Source organism: Homo sapiens, chromosome 8 (assembly GCF_000001405.40).
Source record: "Homo sapiens chromosome 8, GRCh38.p14 Primary Assembly".
Lineage (NCBI taxonomy): Eukaryota > Metazoa > Chordata > Mammalia > Primates > Hominidae > Homo > Homo sapiens.
In genome coordinates, this window is record NC_000008.11 from 70454187 (window position 1) to 70470885 (window position 16699).

General features: G+C 39.6%; 1 protein-coding gene across 1 annotated transcript in view; it reads right to left on the reverse strand.

Moving 5' to 3' along the window:
* Positions 1–2260, reverse strand: part of NCOA2 (nuclear receptor coactivator 2) — a 346665-nt gene extending 344405 nt beyond the window's left edge. Inside the window, exon 1 of the mRNA XM_047421240.1 lies at positions 2205–2260. The gene's annotated coding sequence lies outside the window, so the exon portion shown is untranslated. The remainder of the gene's footprint in view (positions 1–2204) is intronic.
* Positions 2261–16699: the final 14439 nt, after the last annotated feature.

A 16699-nucleotide genomic window follows, 5' to 3' on the forward strand; every position in this document is an offset into this window, starting at 1 on the left:
TTTGACCTATAATACATTGTGTTTATATAATACTCTATATTTAGCATCAAATGGAAAAGTTTTCCAATAATGAGCTTTTGGAACACAGTCAATTCACAGGAATCAAGTCACGCTCATGACAGCTCGGCAGCTCTGAACTGTTCTTGAGAAAAGAGTGAATGACAGGATGCAAAACTAGCAATTGTGCAAAGAACGGAACTGCTCTATTCATCAAAACTTGACTGTAAACTTTCCTTCTAATTGACTGCTTGGCTATTTGACCTTTTTCGGAGGAAACTGTATTTAGAGTCCCTAACTCCTAAAAATCTTTTGTTTTATCTCAAAGGTAGTACAAGTAGACCATCAGCTAAATTACCTTGGAACACAAGCAGACTCCAATTTTTAGCTTGACAATTACTTCATTTAAACACCTTTTTTCATTTCTGAGAAGCCAAACCAATCCCAAACAAAACCAAATCAACAACATTTATCAAAACAGCACCATCACTGCCAATAACAAACACAAATTCGACAGTTACCATAAAAACCATTCCACGAGACAGGATACCCCTGTTGTCCTCATTCTGCAGTGATGTGAGGCACATTTTGTGAGCCCTCTGTACTGAGAAGTTTCAGACACAAACAAAGAAATGAAAAGATAAAAAGTTTTCCTGTTTCAGGTGTTTTTAGATACAGAATTTTCCATACTGGATTAGATCATTTCCCCATCAAAACCAATATCCTGCTTAGTCGACATGAAGTTAATGATGGTGAAATTGAAGTTAATGATGGCGAAATGCTTTGAAAATAGAAGTACTACATACATTCGAGCAATAATGGGCTTTCGTACTAGTAACTTTGTGGCTCCAAGCCCAGGCTCATGAAAGGATACTTTGAAAAGAACATTAAATCTATAGAAGAGATGAAATATTTACAGATTAACTTCTTACTTCTTTTCACATTTTATATGACTTGAGCAAATAAATACTTTTTTAAAAAACCAGGAAGTGTTAAGAGTTACGGATGTTTCCAGATCTAGCTAAGCACGTGTTTGCTACATTCTTTATAATGTGTAAGTGTTTCTTGGGTTGGCTCTGAAGAATTGAGTTAAGCAGGTTGCATGTAATTACAGGGCTCACTGCCTAGAAATGATTATTTTGTTCTTTCTTCCCTCCTATCGGAAAGGGAATGGGAAAACTGAAAGCTTTACCAAATAGTATTCTTAAGCTGCATAGCTTTAAATTTGCTTAGAAAGTGGGAGCCGTTTTCTTTTTCGGTTCTGTTTACCTGGTGTATTTCAGGATAGTCTATTTGTTCTTGAACTATGGGAAGAACCTTAAAATAAACTAAAGACAACAGTGTTTGCCTTTTTACTCTAAGTGTTGTTTATTGAACAGCTTTTTAAGATTAACAACCACTGAAGAGTGTATGGGATTCATCAGCCAATTATGGTCACTTTGGTCTCTACAAAGGCTGGAAAAAAAAAATCACCCAACGCGAGTCCTTCATTTTTTTTTTTTTTGTTACTGTTTGAAAAGGATCTCAGATGTTTCATTTCAAAAGTTTCCAGATAACTTTACCATTTGTTCTTTATTTAATTTGGAATTGTTTAGATCATCTGAAGAACACTTGCTTTCCTAACAATTTCAGAACAATTAAGGTCTTGATGCTTTTAGGAGCTGACATTTTTACTAAAATTCTATTTGAGATTCCATCTAGATCAGATCTAATTTTTCCAAGCATTACTGGATAGCAGAGTTTATAAAATGAAAAAGGTTGCCAAAATAATACTTAATATTTATATTTAGTTTCTATCTCAAAAATCCCAAAGCACTTTGCATGCAAATATTTATCCTACTTTATAGATGAAGACATTTGGGGACTAGAGTAACCATTGTAACATTGCGTAGCAAAAAAAAAAAAAAAATGCCCGCATCTGAAAACAGACCCTTTGTTCTAGTCTTGATTGTACCACCTTGAGCCTGGCATTTAACCTCTGTGGGCCTCAGTCTCTGCACCTATAAAAGGAGGGATTTGGGCGAGATATGCTGAGGACACTAACATTCTACACGTCTAAACTTCGAGGAACTTTTCTAAAGCAAGAAAAAGAATAAGGGCTAAATTTAATTCGTCAGAGTGGAAAGAGAACAAAGAGAGAGGACTGGGAGTGGGAGATTAAAAGGCTGTGGAAAGTGGTCTTGAGATAGATGTTATTGGGGACCAACCTTCTCAATGCACTGGTCAAGCGCCGGACGTTGTTGAGAACAGCACCTGGTGTTCTGGGCTTGTGTGTTTGTGCCAGCAGGTATATAGTGGGGTGTGTGCAAAATAAAGAGTTCCAGTCAGTTGAGTGAGGAAAAACCTGTTAGGCACGTTGTTTCAAGTCATGTGTGCGTAGCAGTCATTAGATCTCTGGAGCTTTTCTATCTTTGCTAATTTACTTTTCATTTGCTTTTCCCAAACCAGCATAACTTACTAGTAGGTTCATAGCTATAGTTAATTGTATGTATACAATGCCAAGCCATAAATTATACTCTTTCAGTTTCCAAATTAACTGATACCATCTAATCACACAATTAAAATGCTTTTATGGTTATGAAAGCAATACATGCTTTATTGAAGAATATTAGAAAAAGTAAAAAAAAAAAAACTACATGTAACATCAAGATTGACAATAATCCCACCACCCAGAGGATGAATGATCACTTTCAACATTTCAGTATGTTTCCTTCTGTGTTCTTTTCTATGAGCATATATACAATTTTTGTTTTCAAAGCTGGGATCACATTGTATATGCAGATTTAAACCTATTTTTTATATTAAGAGTATATTGTTAGCACTTTTACATGATAAATGTACTTATATAGTAAGGGAGTATTTAATTCTGATGCCAAACATCTGGATGAAAAGTAAAAAGTCAGTCAATTATCTAGATATTTTTCCAATACCCAGATGTTTGGCACCATGTCGACAAAACATTAAAATCCTTGACCAAGCTGTTCAGCTTTTGCACAGATGTCTGGCATTATGTAGGCAAACTCTCTCTGAACTGACGGACATTTTGGCAGGAGAAAGACAGAGCATTTATAGCATTTATTACATGCTCTGGGTCAAAAGTGTTTTAAAATTTAGCTTGTGTGCATGAGCAACCTTTTCATTGTTTCACAATGAGTCAGCAGCACGAAGAAAAAAATCTATATTTTAGGAACCCTTAATCCATTATGATGCAAGTCTGCTATCTATCTCTATTTTTGGTCACTTCTCAGTCTGTTGGACTGGTTGTTGACCTTGAAAGCTTAGCATAAAGTTGTTGTTTCTTTGAAGTCTTGGTCTTGAGAATTTGTACCCTAGTGATGGTTTTGTTTTGTCTTTTTTCTATAATTAAGAAAGTTCTTTCTGGCTGATAATTTTATTAACAGATTGCTCTGAATATTTAAAAGTCATGTTAATGTGCCAATATCCCTGACAACAGTCCTGCCTAAAATACATTTAAGACGTTTAAAAAAGATATTTTTATGTTTTTCTGACTATCTTGTTTCTTGGGTTATAATTCTTCGTCTAGCTCTGCATTAGTCAGTGTATATATTTTTCCATGTATACCCCTTTTTTTGATTCCTTAAAGACATAATTTATAAAAGTTTGATGAAGTGCAATGTTATCTACCATTGTATCACACCAAATTTTATGTACTTGATTACACATTTATAGTGACCTTAAAAAGTAACATCCTTAATATATTTGTCTTCTCCTTGACACTCTAAAAGTTGTTATCCTTCATTTTCCATCCTGTTTTTCTTTTCATTAGTGTTGCTTTGATTATGTATATTACATGTCTCTAACTGTAAAATGTTTCTAATTCTGTGGCTGAAACAGAATAAAAAGAAAATCTATCCAACTTATGCCAAAGGGAGCAATGTAGCTGAATGATTAAATACATGAGTCAATTAGTAACGTGGGACTAAGTTCACATCTTTCCTTTTATCGGCACAGAACTGTTCGGCTTGTCCCTCTGTGTTCTCCTGGCTCTGTCATTAACTTGCTCAATTGCCACTGGCAAGACATTAGCTTGGGCTATGCCTGAGCTTTTTCATCCTTCATCCATAAAAAATTACATACTCCCACACTGCTATGTTTTCTGGAATAATTTGTGAAGGTTCTTTCACATTATTAATATTAAGTGTTGTTATTGTTGAGTAACTTGATTTATATGAAGAAATTGCATGAGAAAAACCAGGTAGATGTAAGTTTTTGATTTTTAAAAAATATAAATAAACCACTGCACATTTGAGGACTGACTGCTTTGTTTCTTGCAAGACACTGTAATCTTGTTTTTGATCTTAGCATCTGGTTTTTTGTGTATTATTTGCTTTTATGAATATTTTCTTCAGATTTATTGAGTGTTTTATTATGCCTGGTGTTTTTGCCCAATTGCAATTTAATTATGCTTTTATATTCTGGGTGCTTTTCTGGGGTCTGTGCAGGTCTAAGTAAGGCAGTCATTAAGGAGGTGATGATATGCCATTGCTATTCTGGGATGATACTATCTTCACATGATTGCTGTGTTTATATATATTTTGTTTGTTTGTTTGTTTGTTTTTGAGATGGAGTCTTGCTTTGTCGCCCAGGCTGGAGTGCAGTGGTATGATCTTGGCTCACTGCAACCTCTGCCTCCTGGGTTCAAGCAACTCTCCTGCCTCAGCCTCCCGAGTAGCTGGGATTATAGGCGTGCGCCACCACACCCTACTAATTTTCGTATTTTTAGTAGAGACAGGGTTTCACCATGTTCGCCAGGCTGGTCTTGAACTCCTGACCTCAAGTGATCCACCTGCCTCAGCCTCCCAAAGTGCTGAGATTATGGGCATGAACCACCGTGCCCAGTCTGCTCTGTTTATATTTTTGGATAAAGATGAAAAGCTATAGCTACCCAGCTAAGTAGTCGGGAATAACTAAATAGTTACATACTTTTCATTTTCATCCAAAGTTCGACAGTGGTAGGCCCTAAAAACCAGTATCCATAGACTTCTGACCTAGTGTTCTTGAGATATAGATTTCTACTTGGCCACAAATGTTGTTGTCTAAGTCTGTTTGTGCTTGTGCTGCTATAACAAAATACCTTAGACTGGATAATTTATAAAAAAAAGGAAATTTATTTCTCACAGGTCTGGAGGCTGAGACGTCAAAGATCAAGGCACTGGCAGGTTCAGGGTCTGGTAATGGCTTGCTGTCTGTTTCCAAGATGGCACCTGTTGCTGTGTCTTCCAAAGGGGATGAACACTGTGTCCTCACATAGCAGAAGAGCGGAAGTGCAAAACAAGGAACTCTCTCTCTCCCTCAGGCCCTTGTATAAGGGTACTAATCCCAAGTCTGACGGCAGAGCCTCATAGCCTAATCACCTCCCAACAGCTTCTTCTCTTAATACTATCATCTTTGGGTTTAAGTTCCAATGTATGAATTTTCGACAGACACATACATTCAAACCATAGCAGTTGTATATGTAGATAGGCAAAAATATAAACATGTAGGCACGCAAGAAAGATTGTTGAAAGAAATGGTAGAATAAGTTTAAACATTTATTTCACAACTGATGATTGAATTCATTCACCAATTAGTTGCTTTACTGTTAAGTAGTTGTTTGACAAACTTCAAAGTTATCTTTCACCTTTGATATCTTTTTCACATTCCTATTTGTATAGAATATTCTGGTTGTACATATTTTCACGCAACTAAACTTTTTTTTTCTGTTTTGAGACAGGGTCTCACTCTATTGCCCAGGCTGGTCTTGGATTGCTGGGTTCAAGTATTTCCCCATCTCAGCCTCCCAAGTAGCTGGGATTGTAGGCACCTGGTCTTAAATTTTAGTGACTATTTTCTACTATCTCTCTTTCTCTCTCTCTCTCTCTTTTTTTTTTTTTTTTTTGAGATGGAGTCTTGCTCTGTTGCCCAGGCTAGAGTGCAGTGGTGCAATCTTGGCTCACTGCAGCCTCTGCCTTGTGGGTTCAAGCGATTCTCCTGCTTTAGCCTCCTGAGTAGCTGCAATTACAGGCACCTGCCACTAAGCCCAGCTAATTTTTGTATATTTTTAAAATTATACTTTAACTTCTAGGGTACATGTGCACAACGTGCTGGTTTGTTAAATAGGTATACATGTGTTTGCTGCACCCATCAACTCGTCATTTACATTAGTTATTTCTCCTAACGCTAACCCTCCCCCAGCCCCCGACCCCACAACAGGCCCTGGTGTGTGATGTTCCCCTCCCTGTGTCCATGTGTTCTCATTGTTCAACTCCCATTTATGAGTGAGAACATGTGGTGTTTGGTTTTCTGTCCTTGTGATATTTTGCTGAGAATGATGGTTTCCAACTTCATCCATGTCCCTGCAAAGGACAAGAACTCATCCTTTTTTATGGCTTCATAGTATTCCATAGTGTATATGTGCCACATTTTCTTTATCCAGTCTATTATTGATGGACATTTGGGTTGGTTCAAGTCTTTGCTATTGTGAATAGTGTTGCAATAAACATACGTGTGCATGTGTCTTTATAGTAGCATGATTTATAATCCTTTGGGTATATACCCAGTAATGGGATCACTGGGTCAAATGGTATTTCTAGTTCTAGATCCTTGAGGAATCACCACACTGTTTTACACAATGGTTGAACTAATTTACACTCCCACCGACAGTGTAAAAGGGTTCCTATTTCTCCACATCCTCTCCAGCATCTGTTGTTTCCTGACTTTTTAATGATTGCCATTGTAACTGGCATGGGATGGTATCTCATTGTGGTTTTGATTTGCGTTTATCTTATGACCAGTGATGATGAGTATTTTTTTATTTTTCTGTTGGCTGCATAAATGTCTTCTTTTGAGAAGTGTCTGTTCATATCCTTTGCCCACTTTTTGATGGTGTTGTTCTTTTCTTGTAAAGTTGTTTAAGTTCTTGTAGATTCTGGGTATTATCCCTTTGTCAGATGGATAGATTGCAAAAATTTTCTCCCATTCTGTAGGTTGCCTGTTCACTCTGACGCTACTTTCTTTTGCTGTGCAGAAGCTCTTTAGTTTAAGTAGAACCCATTTGTCTATTTTGGCTTTTGTTGCTGTTGCTTTTGGTGTTTTAGTCATGAAGTCTTTGCCCATGCCTATGTCCTGAATGGTATTGCCTAGGTTTTCTTCTAGGGTTTTTATGGGTTTAGGTCCTATATTTAAGTCTTTAATCCATCTTGAGTTAATTTTTGTGTAAGGTGTAAGGAAGGGATCCAGTTTCAGCTTTCTACTTATGGCTAGTCAGTTTTCCCAGCAACATTTATTAAATAGAGAATCCTTTCCCCATTTCTTGATTTTGTCAGGTTTGTCAAAGATCAGATGGTTGTAGATGTGTGGTGCTATTTCTGAGGTCTCTGTTCTGTTCCATTCATCTATATATCTGTTTTGATACTAGTACCACGCTGTTTTGGTTACTGTGGCCTGGTAGTATAGTTTGAAGTCAGGTAGCGTGATGTCTCCAGCTTTGTTCTTTTTGCTTAGCATTGGCTTGGCTGTGTGGGCTTTTTTTTAGTTCCACATGAAAAAAGTAGTTTTCTCCAATTCTGTGAAGAAAGTCATTGGTAGCTTGATGGCAATAGCATTGAATCTATAAATTACCTTGGGCAGTATGGCCATTTTCACAATATTGATTGTTCCTATCCATGAACATGGAATGTTCTTCCATTTGTTTGTGTCCTCTTTTATTTCGTTGAGCAGTGGTTTGTAGTTCTCCTTAAAGAGGTCCTTCACATTCCTTGGATGTTGGATTCCTAGGTATTTTATTCTCTTTGTAGTAGTTCTGAATGGGAGTTCACTCATGATTTGGCTCTCTGTTTGTTTGTTCTTGGTGTATAGAAATGCTTGTGATTTTTGCACATTGATTTTGTATCTTGAGACTTTGCTGAAGTTGCTTATCAGCTTAAGGAGACTTTGGGCTGAGACAATGGGGTTTTCTAAATATACAATAATGTCATCTGCAAACAGAGACAATTTGACTTCCTCTTTTCCTAATTGAATACCCTTTATTTCTTTCTCTTGCCTGATTGCCCTGGCCAGAACTTCCAATACTATGTTGAACAGGAGTGGTGAGAGAGGGCCTCCCTGTCTTGTGCCAGTTTTCACAGGGAATGCTTCCAGTTTTTGCCCATTCAGTATGATACTGGCTGTGGGTTTATCATAAATAGCTCTTATTATTTTGAGATAATGTTCCATCAATACCTAGTTTATTGAGCATGAAAGGCTGTTGAATTTTGTTGAAGGCCTTTCCTGCATCTATTGAGATAAACATGTGGTTTTTGTCATTGGTTCTGTTTATGGGATGGATTACATTTGTTAATTTGCGTTTGTTGAACCAGCCTTGCATCCCAGAGATGAAGCTGACTTGATCGTGGTGGATAAGCTTTTTGATGTGCTGCTGGATTCGGTTTGCCAGTATTTTATTGAGGATTTTCACATTGATGTTCATCAGGGATATTGGCTTAATATTCTCTTTTTTTGTTGTGTCTCTGCCAGGCTTTGGTATCAGGATTATGCTGGTCTCATAAAATGTGTAAGGGAGGATTCCCTCTTTTTCTATTGATTGGAATAGTTTCAGAAGGAATGGCACCAGCTCCTCTTTGTACCTCTGGTCGAATTCGGCTGTGAATCTGTCTAGTTCTGGACTTTTTTTTGTTGGTAGGCTATTAATTAGTTCCTCAATTTCAGAACCTTTATGATATCCCTTTATCATTTTTTATTGCATCTATTTGATTCTTCTCGCTTTTTTCTTTACTAGTCTTGCTAGCAGTCTATCAATTTTGTCGATCTTTCAGAAAACCAGCTCCTGGATTCATTGATTTTTTTGAAGGGTTTTTTGTGTCTCTATCTCCTTCAGTTCTGCTCTGATCTTAGTTATTTCTTGTCTTTTGCTAGCTTTTGAATTTGGTTGCCATTGGTTCTCTAGTTCTTTTAATTGTAATGTTAAGGTATCGATTTTAGAGCTTTCCTGCTTTCTCTTGTGGGCATTTAGTGCTATAAATTTCCCTCTACACGCTGCTTGAAATGTGTCCCAGAGACTCTGGTACATTGTATCTTTGTTCTCATTGGTTTCAAAGAACATCTTTATGTCTGCCTTCATTTCGTTATTTACCCAGTAGTCATTCAGGAGCAGGTTGTTCAGTTTCCATGTAGTTGTGCAGTTTTGAGTGAGTTTCTTAATCCTGAGTTCTAAATTGATTGCACTGTGGTCTGAGAGACAGTTTGTTGTGATTTCTGTTCTTTTACATTTGCTGAGGTGTGTTTTACTCCCAATTATGTGTTCAATTTTAGAATAAGTGCTGTGTGGTGGTGAGAAGAATGTATATTCTTGATTTGGGGTGGAGAGTTCTGTAGGTGTCTATTAGGTCCACTTGGTCCAGAGCTGAGTTCAATCCTGGATATCCTTGTTAATTTTCTGACTAATTGATCTGTCTAATATTGACAGTGGGGTGTTAAAGTCTCCCATTATTATTATGTGGGAATCTAAGTCTCTTCGTAGGTCTATGAGAACTTGCTTTATGAATCTGGGTGCTCCTGTATAGGATGCATATATATTTAGGATAGTTACCTCTTCTTGTTGAATTGATCCCTTTACCGTTATGTAATGGCCTTCTTTGTCTGTTTTGATCTTTGTCAGTTTAAAGTCTGTTTTATCAGAGACCAGGATTGGAACCCCTGCTGTTTTCTTGTTTTCCATTTGCTTGGTAGATCTTCCTCCATCCCTTTATTTTGAGCCTATGTGTGTCTTTGCATGTGAGATGGGTTTCCTGAATACACCACACCGATGGGTATTGACTCTTTATCCAATTTGCCAGTCTGTCTTTTAATTGGGGCATTTAGCCCATTTACATTTAAGGTTAATATTGCTATGCGTGAATATGATCCTGTCATTAAGATGCTAGCTGGTTGTTTCACCCGTTAATTGATGCAGTTTCTTCATAGCATCAATGGTCTTCACAGTTTGGCATGTTTTTGCAGTGGCTAGTACTGGTTGTTCTTTTCCATGTTTAGTGCTTCCTTCAGGAGCTCTTGTAGGGCAGGCCTGGTGGTGACAAAATCTCTCAACATTTGCTTGTCTGTAAAGGATTTTATTTCTCCTTCACTTATGAAGCTTAGTTTGGCTGGATATGAAATTCTGGTTTGAAAAATCTTTTCTTTAAGAATGTTGAATATTGGCCCCCACTGTCTTCTGGCTTGTAGGGTTTCCACTGAGATATCTGCTGTTAGTCTGATGGGCTTCCTTTTGTGGGTAACCCAACCTTTCTCTCTGGCTGCCCTTAACATTTTTTCCTTCATTTCAACCATGGTGAATCCGACAATTATATGTCTTGGGGTTGCTCTTCTCGAGGAGTACCTTTGTGGTGTTCTCTGTATTTCCTGAATTTGAATGTTGGCCTGTCTTGCTAGGTTGGGGAAGTTCTCCTGGATTATATCCTGAAGAGTGTTTTCTAACTTGGTTCCATTCTCCCCGTCACTTTCAGGTACACGAATCAAACATAGATTTGGTTTTTTCACACAGTCCCATATTTCTCGGAGGTTTTGTTCATTTCTTTTCACTCTTTTTTCTCTAATCTTGTCTTCTCACTTTATTTCATTAATTTGATCTTCAATCACTGATGTCCTTTCTTCCACTTGATCGAATCGGCTGTTGAAGCTTGTGTATGCGTCACAAAGTTCTCGTACTGTGGTTTTCAGCTCCATCAGGTCATTTAAGCTCTTCTCTACACTAGTTATTCTAGTGTAACATTCATCTAACATTTTTTCAAGGTTTTTAGCTTCCTTGTGATGGGTTAGAACGTGCTTCTTTGGCTTGGAGAAGTTTGTTATTACTGGCCTTCTGAAGCCTACTTCTATCAACTCATCAAACTCATTCTCTGTACAGTTTTGTTCCCTTGTTGGCAAGGAGTTGTTTTCCTTTGGAGGAGAAGAGGTGTTCAAGGTTTTTGGTATTTTCAGCCTTTCTACTCTGATTTCTCCCAATCTTTGTGGTTTTATCTACCTTTGGTCTTTGATGTTGGTGACCTATGGATGGTATTTTGGTGTGGATGTCCTTTTTGTTGATGTTGATGCTATTCCTTTCTGTTTGTTAGTTTTCCTTCTAACAGACAGGACCCTCAGCTGCAGGTCTGTTGGAGTTTGCTGGATGTCCACTCCAGACCCTGTTTGCCTGGGTACCACCAGTGGAGGCTGCAGAACAGCACCCACCTGTATGAAGTGTCTGTTGGCCCCTACTGGGAGGTGTCTCCCAGTCAGGCTACACGGCGGTCAGGGACCCACTTGAAGAGGCAGTCTGTCTGTTATCGGAGCTCAAATGCTGTGCTGGGAGAACCACTGCTCTCTTCAGAGCTGTCAGGCAGGGACGTTTAAGTCTGCCGAGGCTGTCTGCTGCCTTTTGTTCAGATATGCCCGGCCCCCAGAGATGGAATCTAGAGAGGCAGTAGGCCTGGCCGAGCTGTGGTGGGCTCCACCCAGTTCAAGCTTCCCTGCTGCTTTGTTTACACTGTGTGCATACAACTGCCTACTCAAGCCGCAGCAACGGCGGACACCTCTCCCTCCGCCAAGCTCCAGCATCCCAGGTCGATCTCAGACTGCTTCACTAGCAGTGAAGCAAGGCTCCTTGGGCATGGGACCCGCTAAGCCAGGCACAGGAGGGAATCTCCTGGTCTGCCGGTTGTGAAGACCATGGGAAAAGCACAGTATTTGGGCAGCAGTGTACTGTTCCTCCAGGTACAGTCACTCACAGCTTCCCTTGGCTAGGAAAGGGAAATTCCCTGACCCCTTGTGCTTCCCGGGTGAGGCAACGCCCTGCCCTGCTTCAACTTGCCCTCCGTGGGCTGCACCCACTGTCCAACCAGTCCCAATAAGATGAACCAGGTACCTCAGTTGGAAATGCAGAAATCACCCGTCTTCTGCGTTGATCTCGCTGGGAGCTGTAGACCAGAGCTCTTCCTATTCGGCAATCTTGGAAGCGACTCCGTCAAAATACTTTTCAGTTCCTCTTTTGATATCTTCTTTAAATGATCTCAAGATCCCACAATAGGCCAGCTGCAGGCTGAGGAGCAAGGAAAGCCAGCACAAGTTCCAAAACAGAAGAATTTGGAGTCCAATGTTTGAGGGCAGGAAGCAACCAGCACAGGAGAAAGATGTAGGCTGGGAGGCTAGGCCAGTCCCCATTTTTTGTATTTTTAATAGAGATGGGGTTTCACCATGTTGGCCAGGCTGGTCTTGAACTCCTGACCTTAGGTGATCTGCCTACCTCGACTTCCCAAAGTGCAGGGATTACAGGCGTGAGCCACTGTGCCCGGCCTTATATTTTTTATCTCTTGATGAGAAAGATCAGAGTCTTTTTTTTCTCTCAAATCCTTCAGCCAATCCATCAGCAAGAACCGCCAGCACTATATATTCTGAATCCAACCACTTTTCACCATTTCTATGATTTCCATGTTGGTGGAGGCTGTTGTCATCACTTGCCTGGACTATAGTTATAGCCTCTGACTGGCCTCCCTTCTTCCAATCTTGTCTTCCAAAGGATCTTTTCCCTACACAGATGCCAGAGTGATGTTTTAAAAATGTAGCCTGAATCATGTTATTTCTATACTCTGAAGCCTCCAAAAGCTTTCCAAAATATTCAGAAGACAATTCGAACTACAAGACCCTACATGAACTGGATCCCAACTACCACTCTCCCTGTCTCTCTCCTGAATCCAGCCATGCTGGGCATCTCGATATTCTTTATGTGTATGGTATGAAGCTAGCTTGTGTCTCAGGGCTATTCTACTACTCCATCCTCTACCTGGAAGCTTCTTGCCTTGTCGCATCATATGTCTCAGGTCTCTGTTCAATGTTGCCTCTTCAGAGGGACCTTCCCTTTCCATGTTTTATAAGTTAGGTCACCTGCCCCTTGTCATTCTCAGTATCCTTCATTTGCTGTATTTTTTTCACGGAACTTTTCACTACCTGAATTTATATCACAATACTTCTGTTTATAGTTTGTTATCTCTCTCAGCTACCAGCATGCTATCTTCATGACAGAAGGAATTTTTTGTTTGTCTTGTGCCTTGATGTGTCCCTAGCACCTAAATTGATTTGGCACATAATATGTGCTCAATAAATACCTTTTACTAAAAAAATGACTCAGTGTTTACTAATACAGGACTGTGGTTCTCTAGATTTGTATCATTCTCTCATATTGCTCTGGGATTGCAAAATTATCATAGTTGGCTGGGCGCAGTGGCTCATGCCTGTAATCCCAGCACTTTGGGAGGCAGAGGCAGGTTGATTGTTTGAGGTAAGGAGTTGGAGACTAGCCTGGCCAACATGGTGAAACTCCGTCTCTACTAAAAATGAAACAAAAAAAGTAGCCACATGTGGTGGCAGGAGCCTATAATCCCAGCTACTCTGGAGGCTGAGGCAGGAGAATTGCTTGAACCCGGGAGATGGAAGTTGCAGTGAGCCAAGATCATGCTACTGCATTTCAGTGTGAGTGACAGAGCAAGATTCTGTCTCAAAAAAAAAAATTATCATAGACACATGTACATTCCTGAAAGCACAATTAATCAGCATATAACATTTCCTGGACAATTTACCTAAAGAATAGTAGAATCTAAATAATATTAGAAGACAGTTGAATTAGATCCAGTCAATCAACTACCTGATTTGTCTTTTCAGCTGCGATGATAATTTCCGGCAGGTGACCCAGACATGGTAGGCCTGTTGGCTTGCAGCATGACTGTGGTTAGATGTGCCATCCTCATGTACCATGAAAGCAATCTGAGTGCACACCCACTGTCTGTGTTATTAGGATAAGTTTTCTTTTCCATCTTGATTCACCTCACAAATCACCAAATATTCTGTGTCGTGGTAATTTCCTGTGTTCTTAAAAGTATTTACCTCCCACATTACCGAAAAATTTAAAAGACCAGAGTTGACCAGAAAGGCCTAGCCACTTCACAAAAACTTCCCTTTTATGAATGCTTGTGGTTAGTCACATAAGAAATATGTTGAATTCTCTTCATGTGTCAAATTATGTGGGAGGCACTAAGAAAAAGCAAAAACACAATAGCCCTACATCGGGATCACACTCTCACCTCTCTCATTCATGGTATCTGCTCTGGAGAAGTTTATAATCTATTCAAAGCTAAAAAAAAAAACAAAAAACAAACAAACAAAAAAAACCCGGCCGGGCGCGGTGGCTCATGCCTGTAATCCCAGCACTTTGGGAGGCCAAGGCGGGCAGATCACGAGGTCAAGAGTTCGAGACCAGCCTGATCAACATGGTGAAACCCCGTCTCTACTAAAAATACAGAAATTAGCCAGGCATGATGGCAGGCGCCCATAATCCCAGCTACTCAGGAGGCGGAGGCAGGAGAATCACTTGAACCCAGGAGGTGGAGGTTGCAGTGAGCTGAGATTGTGCCATTGCACTCCAGCCTGGGCAACAAGAGCAAGACTCTGTCTAAAAAAATAAAAATAAATAATTAAATAAATAAATAAAGCAGAAACCACCTAAAATGGAGACTAACGTGAAAGTATATAGTTAAGAGCTACATTGATGGGTTGAAATATATATTATAGGAATTGAGGGCTGAGCAATCATTGACTGGATTGGACCTTTCAGAGAAGGTTCTAGAGAACGAAGGAAAGCTTCATAGAGAAGTGGACACAAGACCCAGTCTTAAAGGATGAGGGACGGTACTGCAGGCACAAGAAATTCACTCAACTGATGATGATTCAGCATCAGTTTGGTCACCATTATCGAAGCGTTTTGAATGTGTAGCTGCGACCTAAATAACTTCCCAGAGGTAAATGCATCCTGTAGGTTTACAACAAGCAGTATTATTAAAGTAGTCTATATAAAGAAGCTACTCCAGAAAGAAATTCAAACCCACACATGATTAAGCAAGAAGGATGAATCATACTCAAAATGGAGGAAATAACTATGCAAGACTTAAATAACTACTTGTGCTTAGTTTAAAAGCTGTTTTTTTAAAATCTCTCCCTTTAAAAGCTTTTCTTTACTCCCCAAATCCAATAAAATAATTCTATTTAACTTTATCAGTACAAAACTTACTGCCAAAGAAAATAATCACAATATTTATGTTGCTGTATTAGTTATTGCAAAATTGATAAAAGAAGATGGAACAGATAATGTGCTCTTATTAATACACATGGAATCACTAATCCTGTAACAGTTTTATCAAGGAGGTGTGATTAATGCCATTTTGAGGTGGCACAAGTAAGGGTCAAAACTGACAATAAGCCAAGTTCCTAAGCTCCCGCAGCTTGTAAGTGGCATTGCTACTGGGGTTTGAAGTCTGGTCTGTCTGGCTCCATAATACCACCAAGACCTGCCATAAGGAAACTAAATAGGTGGAGCACAGTGGCTCACGCCTGTAATCCAAGCACTTTGGGAGGCCGAGGTGGGCGGATCACAAGGTCAAGAGATCGAGACCATCCTGGCTAACATGGTGAAACCCCATCTCTACTAAAAATACAAAAAATTAGCCAGGTGTGGTGGTACGCCCCTGTAATCCCAGCGCTTTGGGAGGCCGAGGTGGGCGGATCACGAGATCAGGAGATCGAGACCATATTGGCTAACACGGTGAAACCCCATCTCTACTAAAAATACAAAAAATTAGCCGGGCGTGGTGCCACGTGCCTGTAGTCCCAGCTATTCGGGAGGCTGAGGCAGGAGAATCGCTTGAACCCAGGAGGTGGAGGTTGCAGTGAGCTAAGATCATGCCACTGCACTCCAGCCTGGGCGACAGAGGGACTCCGTCTCAAAAAAAAGAAACTAAATGAAAACAGGTTAAGTAGAAGAAGGAAGCCAGTCTATGATGGTCGACAAATGAACAATACACTCACACATAATAATCTGCGAGGTATACAAATAGATTCCATCTACTATCAATCTAGGGCACATCACTTCCAGCAAATCTTGCTTTTAATTTTAACAGCACTTGCATTATTCACAATACTTAATTTGACCTTTCAGTTTTCTATTTTTACACTGATTTTTACATGAAACTTACACATTAGCGAGAGAAGCACTTTAAATCAATCCCAAACAAAACACAAAATGAAAGTCTCTGAGTCAGGAAAGATTGGGAGGCAAAAGTTTGACCTTGTGAGTTGCATCCATTAGGAGCACTAGCAATCTTTGCCAGCCAGCAGCCAGTAGGCAGAGGGGTGGGAAGTAAACGCCAGGATAACGAGGCAAGACCGCCTCCCAATTCTCTTGAGTTACGCTTCTATTTTATTTTGTTTGAATTTTTTTGGTAGAGATGGGGTCTTGCTACGTTACCAGGGCTGGTCTTGAACTCCTGACCTCAAGTGATCTTCCTACTTCAGCCTCCTAAAGCACCGGGATAACAGGCATGAGCCACCATGGCACCTAGTCTTGCTGGAATTTTTGAGATCAAATCTGCCATGTGTAAATCTAAGTCTTTATAAGAAGCATATTTCAAAGCCAAATACTAGTAATGTTTATATCAGCCGCTATTTTACATTGCTCAGGCAGTGTTCTCTTTCACTAATGCTATTAGCTGAACATTGGTTCAATTGCTTAGAATGGAAACAATTATATGTAATATTTCATAGTTATTGCTCTTGACATATATCAAAAGAGAAGTGACACTGGATGTGACAATTCAAATAAATTCCAATATGGAACACAACTTTTGCC